General features: G+C 42.1%; 1 protein-coding gene across 35 annotated transcripts in view, besides 2 other annotated features; it reads left to right on the top strand.

The window, feature by feature from the left end:
- AOPEP (aminopeptidase O (putative)) overlaps positions 1-17,969 on the top strand; it is a 423,526-nt gene that overhangs the window by 320,670 nt on the left and 84,887 nt on the right. For 29 of the 35 annotated variants that reach the window (NR_169862.1, NR_169863.2, NR_169864.1 and 26 more), the window contains one exon: positions 13,326-13,442. The exons of 4 other annotated variants lie outside the window; for them this stretch is intronic. Coding sequence is in view for 22 of the 31 variants with exons in the window: in XM_011519121.4 (XP_011517423.1) it covers positions 13,326-13,442 (117 nt within the window). In the remaining 9 variants the exon portion in view is untranslated. Of the gene's footprint in view, positions 1-3,742; positions 4,767-13,325; positions 13,443-17,969 lie in introns of those variants that run through there. 2 more of the 35 variants (XM_047423981.1, NM_001386076.1) reach the window with 2 other exon arrangements.
- Positions 1,029-1,388: a silencer, noted in NCBI's record as "silent region_20062". NCBI's record gives its function as "represses an Ori minimal core promoter by ATAC-STARR-seq in GM12878 lymphoblastoid cells {active_cell/tissue: GM12878}" and the evidence as "EXISTENCE:reporter gene assay evidence [ECO:0000049][PMID:35858748]".
- Positions 15,410-16,119: an enhancer, noted in NCBI's record as "H3K27ac-H3K4me1 hESC enhancer chr9:97825060-97825769 (GRCh37/hg19 assembly coordinates)". NCBI's record gives its function as "activates a minimal SCP1, AML or CMV promoter by ChIP-STARR-seq in primed H9 embryonic stem cells {active_cell/tissue: H9 hESC(primed)}" and the evidence as "EXISTENCE:reporter gene assay evidence [ECO:0000049][PMID:30033119]".

Below are 17,969 nucleotides of genomic sequence, written 5' to 3' on the forward strand. Positions count from 1 at the left end.
ATTATTTAAAGATCAAATCAGTATTGTCAAAGTATAAGAAGGCTTTGTTTTTGATGTTTTATTTTTCTAAGCATGTTTTAATTATAATTTTTCTCATCTACAACATTCTAATTACATTTTAAATTAGAATGAAGAGTTTAACATGCAGAACTTGTGAATGGACTATTACAGTTTTCTAGGGAAAACTGCCCTGATCAGTTCCCTTCCTGAGGTGGGTCCCTATCCTGTGGTTTGGGGCCACATCTTTCTGTTTTTGATTGAAGTGCATTCTAGGAATACCTACCTCTCACTTATTCTCAATAAATCACATTCCTCTTAATCCTTGTTGGAGTTTTTGATTTTGTTGTTGGGGTCGATTCTGGTGACTTTTATCTACTGAGATTGCTGCAAGATTGGAAATGAGATGGGTTTCTTGTTTGCCATGCAAATGTTCTGGTTGTTTAGGATGAAGATACCAGTAATTAACCATTAAAGCTGTCCTTGCATACAGAAAACTTATCTCTGGCATTTTGTTTTTTTCTGATTTTAGTGTGAACAGTTAGCGACCTCCACCAGTGCTGATTAAGAATTGTATAAATTGTTTATTCTTACAGAAAGCTGCCCTGGGTGGTTTGTTGCTCTTTTATTCACATGATATAAGCTATAAGAAAACAGTCCTCTCACACCTCAGCATGTTGCTGATTTCCACCAGGTGGTCCAGGAACATTTGTTCTGCAGGAGGGACCAAACTTAAAAATTTATTTATGTATTTATTGGTAAGTTTTTTTTTTTTTCAGTTGCAGCCGGCCAGGTCTGATGTTTTGCCACAGTAATACTAATATCCTTGTGAAATGGCATGTATGCTATAGTTTTAAACTTTTTTTCTTAAATACCATATGCAAAGAGAGAAAGTCCTCACATTGTGTAAGTGAGAGGAGAAATTGCTACAGCTATGACTGCCTTTGTTCTCAAAGCCATTTGAATTGCCGGCTGTGTTGGGGCTGGTTTGTACCTTGTTGAAGTGCTGAGATGAGAACTTCTCATTAGAGTAATTGCCTAATTGCCGGGTGGGAGCGGCCCATCCGGGGCGGGGCGGGGTGAGGCGGGGCCTGGGGCGCAGGGGCGGGGCGAGGTGCCGGCGGCCGAGATACTCACGGGCGCGGGACCTGGCCGGGAGACTGACAGCACCGGGACCGACCACGGCCCACCCCTCCGGCCGCGGCGGCCGGGACCAGAACAGCGCAGGCTCTCCGCCCACGCCTGCCCTCGGCTCCCAGTCCGCGCTGCCGCCGCCCAGGTGACACGCAGGGACGGGAGCGGGGCTGCTATGTCCCTCGGGCGCGCTTTGGGACGTTGCTGAGTGGCTACTGCTTGTGCTTTCTTGCTTCCAAGCTGGCGGTAAACCTTTTAAATTCAGAGTGATTCAAGGGCATAGGCGTCGGAATTGTGATTTCGTGCGTGTTTTATTTACCAGGCCTTCAAATCAAAAAGGCCAGGCAAACACACGTTCTGGGGCTATCAAGAAAGTTCACACGAAGGACAAATCCAGCAGGGAGAAAGTGACATACCTTGCGGGCTCAGGCTTGGGATTTCTGCAGCCACGCGCGCGTTCACCCGACGGGACCTCGCCTGCACTGCCGCCGGGAGAAGCCTGCTCTAGACTCCGGCTCCAGGGGAGAGGGCTGGGCTCCACAGAGAGGAGCAGCCTGTGAGTTTTCAAACATTTCTCTGTCAGAGTTAGCTCTTACTTGTTAAATTCCGAGATGAGAATCTATACTGTGAAATCAGCAGAAAAGTGGTTCTTAGAAATTTTAAAGTTTGTTTATCCACTTTACTTTTTGAGGATCTGTGCTCACTGGTTTTTCAAGCTGGTTTGTTTTAAAGGAGTCAAGCTTCACTTTGGAGTAAAGGTGGAGATTATAGTTGCTCTGTTGGAACTTTGATATGTTAAAGGGAAATTCTGTAAAAATGCGGGATGCAAGCAGTAGCCACAGGAGCATTTTTAAAAGTTTTTCTTTTTCAGCTTAATTTATATAAGAAAAACAATTAAAAGCCTGTGTTTCATTTTAGCCTCTTTTTAAAAGATAAATTCTTATTTCTGCAGATAAATGGGAATACTGAGGGGAGGGACGGAAAGTATGGTTTTCTATAGACTATTTTCCATTAAAATTTAAATAATCAGAAAGCTCAGAAATGTTATTCCTGTAACTTCGGGAAGTTATAGGAAATGTTACATTTTAACATCAAAGTAAAATTCCAATAAAATACTTTTTCTTATAGGAGCACATTTTACATATGTAAAGGAAGATACAAAAATACTAGAAATTCTAAAACTTAACCATTTTTGCGAAATTTTTCTAAACAAATTTCCTGAAGTCTTGCATACATTTGAGAATTTAGATTATTGCTAGAAAGCACATCTTAGGTTTTAATCATGTTCATGCCAACGCCTATGAAAAGACCTACCAGGATTTTAGATCCATAGTTAACCACCACTTGTGAGTATCCATTTTGCATTTTTGAAGACTCGTTGATTGACTATCAAGTACTTGAAATTATGTAAGAGAATACTTTTTTGGCAGCAAAGTCGCATTTCAGATCCCCTGCTCCCCTATCAACTTCAGGCTGCTCCAGGCTCTGGGTCCAGGCTGGAACTCACAGTAGAACTAAGATTATGTCTAAACTCATAGCAGTAAAGTGACGTTTTGCCATAAAAGAACATTTTTATAACGCTATTTCAGTCTACTTGTTTCCTTGGAAATAGTTTCTGTCGTGATGGGCAGTATCTAAATTAATGAATTATTCAGCTATTTGTGCAAAATGTGTAACTTAAGGGCAAACAGACTCGATGTTGTTCGCATCACCTCTCACACATTGGCAAGGCAGCCTTTTCTGTCCTATGTAATGTAGGAAAATTAAACATTTCTTGAAATCTGAGACTTCTGCCCTTGTTCTCCTGAAATTAAATCCATTTTATTTTCAGTAGCATGAATTTCCTTACATGTCCAAGAGGCTGTTAAGGAATTAATCCTTTGCTCTATTCCTCATAACACTTTTCACAGTTAATCTAGTGTGTAAACTGTGTGGACGAGAATCCAAAACTGCAGAATTTGGAGGAAATGTGACTCCTATGCCTTGTAGACATTAAATCATTCTGTGAAATAAAACTGAAACTTTGGATAGGAGATTGTACAGTACTCTCCACACATTTTTATTAAATGAAAACAACTTCCATTATTTTTCCAGCAATCCTTCATGTAGTTGGACTCACCTCACCACCTCCCCCCTGCTCCTTAGTTGTGGTCGGCTCTCCTTACAAATGGACAGGTTGCTTTGTCAACTTGGTGGCAGAAACCACCTGACAAATTGTAGACATGTGGCTAAAATTTATGCTTAGTTTGGATTTGGTAGAAAATAAAGAATATTAGAAAATAAAATGTGACCAAAAAAATATTTATGTTGTCTTGACTGTGTGTCTATGCACAAGAAAGGACAGGAACTGGGAGTAATGGAATGTTAGTGTTTCCGACTCCAGAATAAATACCCAAGAGTGAAAATAATTTATAAATTATGTTTCCTGCTTCAGAATTTGCTAAGAGTGTATGTGTGTGTCCATACTTGAATCACTTGCCTCACCTGAGGATCGGAGTGGTTGACTTGGTTTCTCTGTCCTTCTGTTGCTATTCTTTTTCTCACTTAGCAACTATTATGTTGTTATCTCTAAAATGTTTTTGTGGCTTACTTTTTTTTTTTTTTTTTTGAGACGGAGTCTCGCTCTGTCGCCCAGGCTGAAGTGCAATGGCGTGATCTCGACTCACTGCAACCTCCGCCTCCCAGGTTCGAGTGATTCTTCTGCCTCAGCCTCCCGAGTAGCTGGGACTACAGGTGCGCGCCACCACACCCAGCTAATTTTTGTATTTTTAGTAGAGATGGCGTTTCACCATGTTGGCCAGGATGGTCTCGATCTCTTGACCTTGTGATCTATCTGCCTCGGCCTCCCAAAATGTTGGGATTACAGGAGTGAGCCACTGTGCCCAGCCATACTTTTTTTTTTTAACTGTGAGTTTTGATTTTAAAAAACCCTTAATCGTTAATAGTAAGTTTTAACAAGGAGACTATGGAAGGCAAAGGGAGAGATCTTTCTAAGACATACAGTTGAGTTTTTGCACATAAAGCAAACTAGATTGTTATAACTCCTCATACAGCCCATCTATTTGCTTTTTAAAAAATTGCAGAGCTATCATTTCATTGATTGCAGTTTGTTATAATTAAAGAGGCATTTTCAGTCATTTTACCATTAGCTTTTTAAATATGAAGAATAATTAACCAGATCTGTACTGTAAAGAATGTTTATGAAACTTTTTTTTTTTTTTTGAGACGGAGTCTCACTCTTTTGCCCAGGCTGGAGTGCAGTGGCACAATCTTGGCTCACTGCAAGCTCTGCCTCCCAGGTTCACGCCATTCTCCTGCCTCTGCCTCCCAAGTAGCTGGGACTACAGGCGCCTGCCACCACACCCGGCTCATTTTTTGTATTTTTAGTAGAGACAGGGTTTCACTGTGTTAGCCAGGATGGTCTTGATCTCCTGACCTCGTGATCTGCCCACCTCGGCCTCCCAAAGTGCTGGGATTACAGGCGTGAGCCACCGTGCCTGGCCTATGAAACTTTTTAAGTTGATAAATTTGTATTTTTTAGATATGTTCTAGTTGAGGAATGAGAACCACTCCTGGTCTGAATTTTCATGTGTTGCTATATAAATTTGCTTTTAATAAATTCTTTTAAATCACCAGATTGTTAATTGACAGCTATTCTTGCAGACATTGTTACCTTATTATTTCTTCTTACTATATTGGGCATTAAGTCGTTTATTTCAATGTGATAAACATTTGACTATCAAGGATGGGGGTAGATAGCACATGACATGAGCAAAATCTGGTTCCAGTATTTAAGACACAGCCTTAAAAATGTATATTCCTTTTATAGAAGTTAAAATATAGTTTTCTTTGAACTCGGTTATTCCTTGTTTAAACTCAAAAGGAGAGGATCCTATTTTCTGTACATAAAATTCTGAAGATAGGTATTTTCTGTAAGAGCTGAGTTTTTTCCCCATTTGCTAATCCCTTCTAATTTAGAGGAAAAACCATATTATCACACTGAATGTTAGTGATGATTGCCTATTTGTCCATATGAACACAGTAATTTTGTGCATAGTATAGATTACTATTCACCAGGAATATAGGGCTGTATAAAAAACATTTAACCAAAGAAGAATCGTGTTGATAAATTATTAACTAAAATTACTAAATTTGTAATGAATAATCCTACACAGACCATCTGATTGTGATTTTTGACATATTGGAGTAATATAGGAAGTTATAGAAAGGAAGAAATTCTGGGTTTGGATGAAATTACTGGTTTTTTCCCTTGGAAAAAAAATCTGAATATATTTTATAATTTGTTAGTATTGTAAGTAACAGCCTAAAAACCTGAGCATGTGACTGTTTGACACTGTGCTTCCTATATATCTGTTTACAGAATATTTGGAAAATTTTAAATTCTTCCAGTTCTTGATTGCTGCTTGCACAGAACCAATGTTAAAATGTTATGACTAAGACTAGAGAGACAATGATAGGTTTCTCGGTGCACACTTAGTGCTAGGAGGTCTTCCCATACCTACCGGGCCAGCTTTAGAGAAACCCCTGGTTTCCAGTTGCCTGGTTCAGTACTTTGTTAGAGCACATGCTTTAATTATTTTCAGTGTTCTTAGGTTTGGTTGTGGTAATGAATTTCTTCATAAAGTAGATCTCTCTTTTAAGTGAATTATTAGGAAATACTTGTAGCATGATTTAAGAAAAATATTTCAGCTTCAGCTGGAAGCAGAAAAATGGACAGAGGGGAAGCCAGAGAGTTCAGGTAGGTTACTCGGAGAAACAGTTGACACAAAGCATTCCTTATTTTCTTATTATGTATCTTTAGAATGTAATTTACACAAATTGAACCATAGTTTACATTTTATTCTGAACCTTTTTTCTAAAAACATTTCTTGCCATCTTCCTATATTACAAAAATAATTCCATCTCATTCTTTTTAATAGCTACATAGTATTCCATTGCATGGCTACATACCATATAGGATGTTTTGATTCATATACTCAACCAACCGTTTTTTTACAGTAAAGGTATACTCATATGCTGGGCCTTAGGGGGTTATAAGTTAATGTATAACTAGAATTGGAGCTAGCAAATGTCACTGTTTGTAAATTAGGAACTCAGAATTATAAAATGTATACTCTCCTTCAAGATAAATACAACAAGTATATTACGTACACTGTTATTAATTTAGGTAAGAGCATTAATTCATTTTTGTTGTTGTTGTTGTTGTTGTTGTTGTTGGATACAGAGTCTTGCTCTGTTGCCCAGGCTGAAGTCTACTGGATTAATCATAGCTCACCGCAGCCTCCAACTCCAGGGCTCAGATGATCCTCCCACTTCAGCCTCCCAAATAGCTGGGACTACAGATGCATATCACCACACCTAATTTTGGGGGTGGGTAGGGAGCGAGGTCTCACTGTGTTGCTCAGGCTGGTCTGAAACTCCTGAGCTCAAGCCATTCTCCTGTCTAGACCTCCCAGAGTGCTGGGATTACAGGTGTGAGCTACCACTTGTGGCAAAAGCATTAATTCTAAGGAAACAAAAAGAAGGAAATTTTTATGAAAATGTGAATACAAGAAAAGTTAGGAATATTCTGATACTTTAAAGTATTCCAATTTCTTTAGAAATATTCAGGCATATATTGAACATGCCATTGTTGTCATGGCAGGGTGAATAGACAGAATCACTTAGGAATTTAGTTTCTTTTTCATGAGTGATTATTTTCTTGAGAAGCATAGATCAGGAATGTTTTCCCTTTGGCCCCTTGTAATTGGTCTGGCAGGATCTGGGGTTGGGGAGGTGGACACAAGGATCCCACACATCTCTTGTGAAATACTTGGAAATTTTCAATTTGAGTGTTTATGATGCTTCCAACATATATAATAACATAAAATATTAATGTACACGTGGTTGTAAGAGATCCAGTTGACCAGAGGATTGCATGTTTCATCATTTAAATAATATGCTTTGTGTTAGATTGCATATAGTGTATGCTTTTAACAAGAGTTAGGGGAATAATAGCACGGGAACATTTGACACTTACAATCTGGAAACATGAGAATTATTTATGCCAGTAAATTATTTCAGATAGTATTTGCGAATGATGGTATGTGTCTGTTTTAGGTTCTGTGGTGCCACTTTTAGAAACTCCACAAGCAAACCATGGCTCAAAGTTTGTAGTAATCTTTTTGAACTGTAACTATTAGAATTTCCCAAAAATCTAATAAATATGCTTTTCTTTGTATAAAATGAGCTATATGAATATTTGCTGCTACTTGAATTTTCTTTCCAAAATTTGTTTATAGACATACTCCCTAAAGATGTTTGATAATCAGAAATAACTGATTCTGCTAGACAAATATGCACCAATTGATTGATTTTCTTTATTTTGAAGAAAATTTTTTTCCTCTTAATTATTTGGTGGCTTCCTTTGCTGGCAAATCCAATTTTATGCCCCACAAATAATGTGAACAGTAGAGACTTCTACTTGTAAGTTTCGGCAATTCTTTAAAATATGTTAAGTTTTTGCTTCAACATATAAAGGTTTTTCTTTTCTGAATTGTGTTTTCAGCAGCAATTCAAACCAATTGTATTTTTCCATTATACAAATTACTAATTTAGAATAAATATATTTCATTTCTGTCATGATATCCTAGTAGGCAGGCTCTTGGGCAGACACCTGATATGTGTATGTATTATTAAGTTGTCTACTTTTGTTTCTTAGAAATGTTTATCATTTAAAAAGTAACAGATGGAAGAAGACCATTTATTGAAGACTGTGGCCTGGCTAGTGTGTGGGCAGTAAGGGGTGACTGCACCTGGGTTCTGTGGCTCTGAACGTTTTCTGTTTCTTTTTGGATTATGAGGAGGGAGAACTCTTGGTTTTGTTTTGAGGAACTTCATTGATTATATCTTAATTTTGCCTTATTGGCAAAAAGCACCATGTGAAAATTTATGCAGCGTATAGATTTTCACTGTGTTTTATTTGGTTCAGAGCCGAGTCTGGAAGATGACTTAGTTTATAAGTTCTGTCTCGTGTCCTGTAGCCAAGCTTTCTGTCTCCTTTAATGAGGGCACTGTGTGATTAGAAGCTGTTTCCTCCCATTCCTGTGGACTGAAGGGGCAACCTGAGGGTCTGCTAAGGTGGTGGGTGTGTTTTCTGGGAAGAGTGAAAGGGGATTTGTCAGCCTTTGGGGGAACTTGATAAAAATGAAAGATATTTTATGTCAGTGGGATCACCTTTTTAATCCAAGGGGCAAAAGAAAACTGGTTTCTATTGTGCCCCTGCCCGAAGGCCGCCTGCATGTGACTTTCAAAGGACCCTGCTTGTGTTGAATTTCAGCCAGCAAGTCTCCAGCATACAGAATTTGAGATTTCCCCCACCCCCACCGTTTCTTCTGTTTTTGTTCCATGTAAACAGTTCCCTGCGTAGTAACATAGACAAATATAGCAGAGAATGCTTTTCTGGAAGAAGAATGCTCCCTAAGCATTTTTTAACCATTTTTGGGAAGAATTGATCTTTCTGTGTGTTTCAGACAGACTGGAGAGGGGGAGGCCGTGGCTGTAAATTGAAGTGACATCATATGTATTGCCCCCATTGATCCGCTTTTAGTCTCCAGCCAGGATAAAAGGAAATGGCATCAGGGAGGAAGCATGCTTCATTTAGGCACAGATCCCAGAGTGATAATGGGGTAATAATAGAACTCATGCCACTGTCAATCCGTGGCTGCATTAGTCCCAGGCTTATTCTCTGTCTGGGGAGCCGCACAGTGACTTTCTTCGTGTGAGGCTGCAGCGCACCAGCTGGGCCACGCCGGGAGGTGCCCTCCTTTGCTTTCGGAGGGGTGCAGGCAATGGGGCTTGGATGTTGCCATTTGCTGGTCTCTTGTCACAGGCCCTGCCTCTGCAAGGTCAGTCATGGGACATGTCCGTGGCATTTTCTGATGTAGGAGGTGAGCTGGCCTGTTCTGCATCATGCTAATGGAAGAAATGGTGGCGGAACCTCAGTTGCGTGGGTGGTCTTCTGGGAGCACAGAGTGAGTGATGCCCCCGTGACAGCAGTAAGAGGCTTCTGCAAGAGTCAGGGGTTTTTCTTAGTTGAGCTGCCTCTAGTTTAGGAGGGTGGGTTTGGAAAATTCATATTTTCTTTCCAGGAGCATGCATAAAAACTCTCCCAAACCATTCAAAGTCGTACAGCTTGCGTCGACTCTGAAGTTGGGAAAAACATGCAGTGGACTTTTTTCTTTGTACAGTTCTTAGTATTTAGCAACTATGAGATCTTCCATGTTTAGAGTAGAACACAGACTTCTAAAATCCTTAACAAGCAGCATTTGTACTTGACTGACCTCGTTTAGCATTTTATTTCTTGTACTCATTTCAGTAAGTTTCATAGTTCTGTGAAGTTCTCTTGCAAGTACCCACATCACTTTGGCACCTTGTAGTCCTATTTTGTGTAAATTTCCGAGGCAGATGCATTTTAAAAATAATGAGCTGGTCTCTGTATGGAAAAAATAACCCCATCATGAATTTCTTGTTTATGCAAAGGAAAGGACTTTTGCATTCCTGTCACTGTTGAACTGTGGGTGTGAGCACTGTTGGGCCCCCAGAAATAAAGGCAAGTTCTTTTTATACTGTCTGAAGGAGCTGCTTTCTTAGGTGGTGATGCTTGGAGGTAAGGTCCTTTATTTTTCACGATCACTCTGTGGTACGACCAAAGCCTTATCTCTCTCCCGCCAGTGCTGCTGTATTAAACACAGCTGGCCTTTCAGTCTTAAATTCAGCTGATCTTAAAATAAATAAATAAACGCAGCTGGCCTAGAAGTCATGTGAAGTTTGCTTTGATTTCCACGTGGGTGGAAGTGGAGTGGTCCACATAGCATGTCCCACTCCCCCTGTGCCCGCCCCGGGCTCCTCGTACCACCCGGTGCTGCCTTGAGCACATCTGCTGATACGTGGTCTCTTTCATTTGCTTTACAAACATTTTGGTTTATTACATGACCACTGCTTTTTCATTTGTAGGGTGGCTTTACGGGGAGCAAATGTTTATTTTACAAAGACAAATGTATGGAAGCTGTTTAACCACATTTTTGCTTCAATATGCTCTTTTTAAGGTCTATTATCTTATCCTTTAAAAATGTTGTAATGTGTACTTTGCGAATGAAAGATGCTTTATTAGTTTTATTGTCTGTGTCCCAAAATAACGTTTGTTCACTGATTTTTTTTCCCTACTTTTTTCAGAAACTACATTTCCCCCCATGAGTTAGAATAGTTACAACTAAAAGCCAGGTGGCCGCAGGTTGTTTACCAAGTGAGAGTCATTTCAAGTCTATTCAGAAGAATGGGACTCACAGAAACCTGGGAGCATGAAGCTGGCTCTGGCAGCACTGTGGTCGGGGGCCTTGTTTTAGGGGGAGCAGATACCTGAGGGGAGTGTCCATCCTTGCTTCTTACCTCTCTCAAATTAGAGTCAGTCAGTGTGCTCCCTCCCTTACTTCCATCTCGCGGTCTTAAGTCAGGGAGTTTAGCTTTAAATATTTTCATTGTGTAAAATTTGGAGAGGACAAAAGCTTCCATTGATCCTTTTGGTTCTGTTTCTGTGTAGAGTTGCTGAGCTTTCAGCTTAAAAGAAAACTCAGATATACAGGTATGAATGCAGGTATTTTTGTAGGTTCACATATAGGTAATTGTTTGATTTTAAACTGGAGCTGTATCTATTGGTTAAACCTAGTTGGGGTTAAGTTGAGGACCAAGCTAGTTGTCTTACTCAGGGTTTCTTTGCTCTGTGTGTCTCTTTAGTTTAGACCAAATCCCAAATGAGAGTTCTAACAGTAGGCTTCTTTGTAAGCACAAGCGTATAATATGGGGAGATGCTTTTCTTTCTACTCTCCCCTTCCCTGTAATTCTGCAATTTGGCAGGGCTGGTTCCTTCTGTATTTAGTTAGCAAACGAGGCCCCACTTCTGGCAAAGGGTGTTTAGGGGCTGGTGGTGCCGAGAATCACTTCTCTGTGAGGCTGAGCCCATTCCCCAAAGCCTGCCTGCCTTTGTCTGGAGGGGCCTTGATGCCAGGCGCCTGTTGTCCTCGGACTGTCTGTCTTGAGAAATGCTGCTCACCAGTTTTGAGTGTTTGTGGGGTAGAGCAGGTCCCCATCCTGTTGTGGCCTGGCCTGGGTACCCCTCGTGGAGCTGCTGTTTGACAGCAGCACAACAAAGGGTAGTAGTGAGGTGAAGTGGGGAGAGCCCACGACTGGGGTGAAAAGGAAGACACTGGGAAGAGGGCTCAAGGGCTGGAGGGCATTCAGTCAGTGGCCCTGGGAGACGGGTTAGGGGTACTTGAGGCCATGGGTTGAAGGCCCAGCCTCCTGCAGGAAAGCACCTCTCTCGGAACATCACAGGAGGCTGAAGGGTGAGATGAACTGGAAGGAGAAGGAGGGCAGAGGGAGAAAGAGAACCAGTCTCACTGGGCTGCCTGGGCAGAAGTGCTGGATACCCACATGCACCCGGCAGTGTTCATGGTATGAATGGTGAGGAGGCCTACCAGAGGCTGGGCGCCTGGGTTTGGCCTCTTCTGTAAAACAGTAGATTTCTTTTTAATACCGTATGGTGGATGGGTGATTTTGTTACAAGTAGTTATGTAGTAATTTGATATCTTTAAAACATGCTGCAATTACTTGACTTCTCATGAAAAGAAATGGAGTGTTAGTAATTCTTTGGGTCCTTGTCAGTGCTGATTGTACTGCAGTTTTGCTGAAGGCGCCTTGTTTCTCCTGAGAGAATAGCCACAGCATGTCTTTCAGATGAAGCGATGTCATGAAGTACAGAATATACCCAAGAACCAAGTGATTGCATTGGTGTCTTGTCTCCTTTCTTTCTGCCTCTGTCTGTAGGCAAGTGGGGGCTTTCTTAGAACTTAGAAGAGTGAGGTGAGAAAACAGATACCTAGTGGAATGGTGCGGTGGGTGTGGTGTTTGCAGTGCTTGCTGTCTGCCCGTTGCCCCCCGCATACCTTTTGGAAAAGTATATGTGTGTGTGAATGAGTGAGGGGGTAAGGGGGTAGGGGGTAGGGAGGGTCAGGCAGAGTGCACACTTGGGGGCAGAAAGATGAGGAGCAGGGAGGGAAACCAGTACTTTTTAAAAATTGTTTTAGAACACCAGAAAGTGGCAGTTAAAATCCAGGTGTTCTTATGAATGTACTGTTGACTTGATATCAGCTTCCAGACCTGTAATTGGGATTGACAGGAATGATCTGCACATACACAGGGATGGAGAGAAGCTCAGCAGAGAGAACCATGGAATTCATAGGATTAATTTTAAAATCTTGATTTTAGAGTAAATATTTTTCACTTCCTACAAGGCATATCTCAAATTGATTCTTCCTCCAGTGCACTACAGGGCCGATCTCACAGGGCCACCAGGCCTGGCCCTGCTGTTGCATAGCGAGTAACACGGATGAAGTCTTACACATGCTTCTCTTCATTTCTTGTATTTCACATACATTGTGTTTTATTTTTGTACCATGTTAAGACTATCTCCTGTCTTTGCCCTTAACTTGTAACACCACTTTTGACCATTCCTGTATGAGAACTCAGGAATATGGGTAACTTTGTGTGTCTGTGTGTATAGCTGCACATATAGTTGTGTACAGCCTTTTGAGCTTTTTAATGGATTATAAGTATGATTTTCGTAATGGAGGGAAGACACAGTTCTTTCAGTATGTGCTCTTTATTTCTCAGTGTGCAGCAGGTATATTTGCAGAGCTTATGTGGTAAAAAGACTGAATGCCGCATCTTAGTTCTGTGAAATTTCCAGGTGTTTGCCTGTAATTGGATGGCTCCTTGAATCTTTGTCTAGGCTAAATTACATTTTCTGGTGTATGCGTGCTGTAAAGGAAGAGATCCAGTAAACCACGATAATGTTTTATTAAGATAAGCACAGTTTTGATCTGCTCTAAGTATAGAACTGAAATGATTAGTCATGGAAAACGGGGCCAAAGCAGACCCCAGAATGTAGTGTCTTTGGGAATACAGACAATGTAGGCCCTGAGGAATTACAAAAGTCAGCCGAACAGTCTTTCCATGTTGCCAATATATGCTGAAAGCACCCAGGTTACCCTGGGTATGTGGTCTTCAGTCTGAACATTTGGGTGTTGTTTCTCATCAACTGAATGGCATTTTCATAGGCTGTTTGGTTTTGTCTTTAGCTTCTTCCAGACCAGCTGGTCTTGCTTCTGGAGCATCTCTTGGAGCAGAAGACTCTGAGCCCCCGAACTCTGCAAAGCCTCCAGAGGACATACCACCTCCAGGATCAGGATGCAGAGGTAACCAGGAACACTCTCGGAGTTTAACCAGCAGGTCCCCACTGTTGTTGAAGAATGGTGATCCCATTGCAGTCCCAAACTATTGAAACCACCATTTCTATTAGCAAAATCTCATGTGTTTGCTGTATGAGTGAAGAACTAAGTGCTTTAATCTGATTATGCTTATGCTTCTAATCAGAGTATTTTGAGGTCTTAAGTTTTTCCCTCTTCTTAAATCATAAAGATGGACATAAGTCTCCTAAAGGAATGAGTGGAATGTTTTTGAGTTGTAAACTTGGGTGGGTCATTGTGCCCACTGACGGTGGTGCCATTCTGTTGCACATTAAGGAAACTTGGCTCAGATGTGTCAGAGCTTCTTGGTTGCATTCAGTTAGGGCAGGAAAGGAGCCATGTGTAAAGGGAATGAAAACTAAATCTAGCAGCTGTAGTTGGAAAAGGCAATTGGATGCTTGCGAGAAAGCAATGTGATATAGTCCTTAATATCTTCTACCTTATTGTGAGGAATGCAGTGTGAATCCTAAGACAAATTCCAGGGTTTTAAAAAAATACAAAATAGTAAATAATGTATTCAGACATCTTAAGTAAAAACAAGAGCTTAAACAGAAAACCTCTTTTATATAAGACTCCCAAAATGCAGAAAGTAAGTTTGGTTTTGAACATTTTAAAACTGTGCAGTCTAGTACAGCAGCCATTAGCCATGTGTGGCTGTTAAACACTTAAATGCAGCTATTTTGAGTTGAGATGTGCTGTAAGTATAAAATGCACAATGAATAGTGAAGACACTGGAATGAAGAAAGACAAAATAACTTAATGTGTCCCAATTGATTATAGTGTTAGTGATATTTGGGATATATTAGGTTAAATATTATTGTAATGAATTTTATAATCATTAAAATGGAGTAATTGAGAAAAGCCCGTTCCTTATTAACCAAAAGGTAAGATGGCCATTGTTAGGCATTTTAAAGCCCCATAAACTCAACAGTGATTGAAAAACTCCAGAGGGGACATGTAGCTTTTTACCCACCTGAGCATAGACCAAATTTACAACTGTTGCTGTTTATTTCAGCTCTTATATTTTTGTATGTAGGAGTTCTCAAATGCCAGACTGTTATTTTTAATTAGTGTTTAAAAGACTTTGCTATATATAGTCATTAGGCTGTGTTTTAATCAGGGTGGAGTACCACCAAACCTCCAGGACCCTGTGATGGGCATGGACAGACCAGAGGGGAGGATCAGAGCAGGCACCGGGCACCTGTCACTTGATGTCCGGAAACCATGAGGTGGCCCCCTTCCGTTTAGCATAAAACATGTCCTGTTCTTGCAGCTCAACTTAGTTGTTATATATAACCTCTTAGAACCTTTGAGAAGAACGGCTGTGGGTGCTAAGGCCAGTGTTGAATTAGGTGGCTGGTTCAGAAACACCTGCCCAGGCTAACGGGGCAGATCTCTAGTACAGCGCAGGGGTGCTTGGGACCTGGTGGGGGCAGATTTCTTTACCTTCTGTGCCCCTATATTTTTGAGATAACGCAGAAAGGCTTCCCTTGCTCTACATGTGACCGAGATGCATATGTAAAGCTGCCTTTCCAGAAGGGTAAGCTTGCTGCCTCCAGCTGTTCCTGCTCCTCATGGCAAAGTGCACTGAGGAGTTTTGTTGGCTGAGCAGCGTGTTCGGGATGTAGCGGCTGCAAGTGAGAAGCCTATTCCATGGTTGCTTTAGCTCCTGGGCTGCCATCCCGGTCTGTCCCTCCCTCTTTTCATGTGGATGGGCCGGTACAGGCCCACCCACACAGAGAAGGAAGAAAGGAGGGACGAGATTACTATTAACCATTCTTTCTATGTGTGGTGCTTCTGTGTATGGGCTGTGTTCACAGAGCATCTGATCTGTTGGTCTGATTTTCTGAGTGTAGCACTGAGTCTGCTGCGGCTGCTTGCCAAGGGCTTGAATGTCGAGGGGTTGTGGGGCCAGGGTTCTGAATACTATCTCAGGTTATGCACACCCTGCCTGCCCTCCATGTGCCTGCATCACGTGATGTGAAGACCCAGGTGTATGCTCTTCATGGAGGCAATGCCCCCGTGTTCAGAATGTGAAAGGAAAAGTGCTCAAGGACAGACAGAGTTGAGAGCATGGGTGGAGTAGGCAAACCATCCCAGGCTACCTCCTGCCTTGCCACCCCTCTGCAGGGCGGGCACAGGCTGCGCTCCTTGATGCTCCTTGGCCTGGAGAGTGAAGCTGACCTCAAAGTCAGCCATCTTGTATGTAGCAGGCCTCAGGACTATGGGCGGGTGCTGGGCCACTGCAGCCAGCACGGAAAATGAGCCGAAGGGAAATCCGTTCCACAGAAGCACCTTGTCTTTCTGCAGTTTTTGAGTATATTTCTCAAATAGCCATAAAAGTTTAAAAAATATATTTGACAGCTAACTCTGGGAACAAAACATGTTATCTAAGATCCCTTTTTAAGTAACACATTTCCTGCCTGCCTTAGCAGGTCTCTTAAGCTGTAAAAATAGCTACCCATGGCAGTGAGATGAGGATCCCTGGACCTTGCCTTTCTGACCTCTTTCCCCCAGGAAGTCCATGACTGACCTTCAGGCAGCAGCATCTCTGCAGGCTCCACTGAGCGCTTTCAGATCTCCGCAGACTCCACTGAGCGCTTTTAGATCTCCGCAGACTCCACTGAGCGCTTTCAGATCTCTGCAGACTCCACTGAGCGCTTTCAGACTGGGGCCATGCCTCAGGGGATGGGCTCCCCCTGTGTTGTTTTGCTGGTGGCCACGAATCCGAAAGGCCCATGCTGCAGCGTGCCCTGCTTTGAGTTTGGTTGATATGCTTAATAAGAACATTAGTTTTCTGGGAGAATTTGGTAGCACCCGTTCTTCCCTTCACTGTGTGGGGGAAATAGTGTTGATTGAAAGGAAGAGGACTCCGAGATTGGATTGGAGCAAGAAAGTGTGGGTATCGTGTGTTGTGACTGTGTCTTCTCCGGGGTGCTGCTTCACTGGAGGTCTCCCTTCAGGGTCTGGCCCTCATGCCTGGCCCCAGGTGCTCGTGTGCACGTGAGCGGCTCTTCCTGCTGACTGACTACAGCTAATTGACAAAAGGCAGTTTCAAAAAAAAAAAAAATCTCAACTTAGTAAGGTGTCAGCACAGAGGGGAGTAGCTAGAAAAAGCTTGCTAACAACATTTAGAGGCCACCCTAAGACAGCTATACTCTCCCAAAGTGCCAAAGAATGTAACCTTGGGAGGCTCCACTCTTTCATGTAGAATTGCAAACTAAACTAGTAGGAGCAAGTGAATGTGAGGAAACAGATTGTAAGGGCATACCTGTTTCAGCACTCATCCGGCTGCCTTCCAGGATAGAAAGGAAACTCCAGGTTGATTGGAAATGGAAAAAACGACCAGCGTCACAGGCCTGTCCCGTAGCACGGGCAGTAGCTGAAGAGGCCCTGCAGACCCTGTGTAATGGGTCTAGGTCTCCTCTACCTCTTTTTTGTTTGTATGTTTGAGACGGAGTCTCGCTGTGTCTCCCAGGCTGGAGTGCAGTGGCACGATCTTGGCTCACTGCAACCTCCAACTCCCAGGTTCAAGCAGTTCTGCCTCAGCCTCCCGAGTAGCTGGATTACAGGTGCCCACCACCACGCCCAGCCAATTTTTTGTATTTTAATAGAGACGGGGTTTCACCATCTTGGCCAGGCTGTTCTCGAACTCCTGACCTCATGATCCACCTGCCTTGGCTTCCCAAAGTGCTGGGATTACAGGCGTGAGCCACCGCGCCTGGCCTCGTCTACCTCTTTTGATGCATCGTACACAAGCCATTGGTCAGGGGGCGGGTCCACAAGCTGGTATTTATCTTAATATGCTGTTACTAATACATTGTTTACTTGGGAAGAAAGCACCATAGCATTTATTTGCAGTCCAAAGGTGGAAGTTGTGAGTCCAGCAACACAATCATGTGACAGCTTTAATGCTCATTTATGAATTTCATTTGGGCCAAAAGCATAGTTCTGTGACTCAAGCACTTAATGATTAATAGAACTCTAGAGGAACTTACCAAAGGGGCAAAGAATGAAGGTTTGATGGTTGTTACATCTCCAGATTCTAAAATTGATCCATAGTTGTGGTTCTGTTCGTTCCTTTCAGTGCTAGAACTCTTTCCATTAGAGATGACTTTCGTCTTCTGCTTTGGAGGGCTTGGAGATGTGAAATGTTCAGGAGGGTCTTTTCCCTGCTGTTGGAGCTTCTTTTTCTTCCCTGGTTGCTTTTTCATAGTATTCTGGCTACAAATAAGTAAGACATTTCTATTTTGTTTTGTTACAGAGTGGCTTAGAGGAAAGGTTAGATATAATCTCTTTGGGCTCTGTTGCTGTTTCAGGATGCTCGATGCTTTAGATTTATTAATATGTAGTGTGCTGAACTTAGAAGTCCTTCCTCTTGTCTGCCTTGATCCAGAGTCTAAGCGTAATAAAGGCAGAAACTCTGGCTATGCTGACGTCAGGTCCTGTCATCGTGGTGTGTGAGGGCAGCACCCA

Source organism: Homo sapiens, chromosome 9, assembly GCF_000001405.40.
Source record: "Homo sapiens chromosome 9, GRCh38.p14 Primary Assembly".
Taxonomy (NCBI): domain Eukaryota; kingdom Metazoa; phylum Chordata; class Mammalia; order Primates; family Hominidae; genus Homo; species Homo sapiens.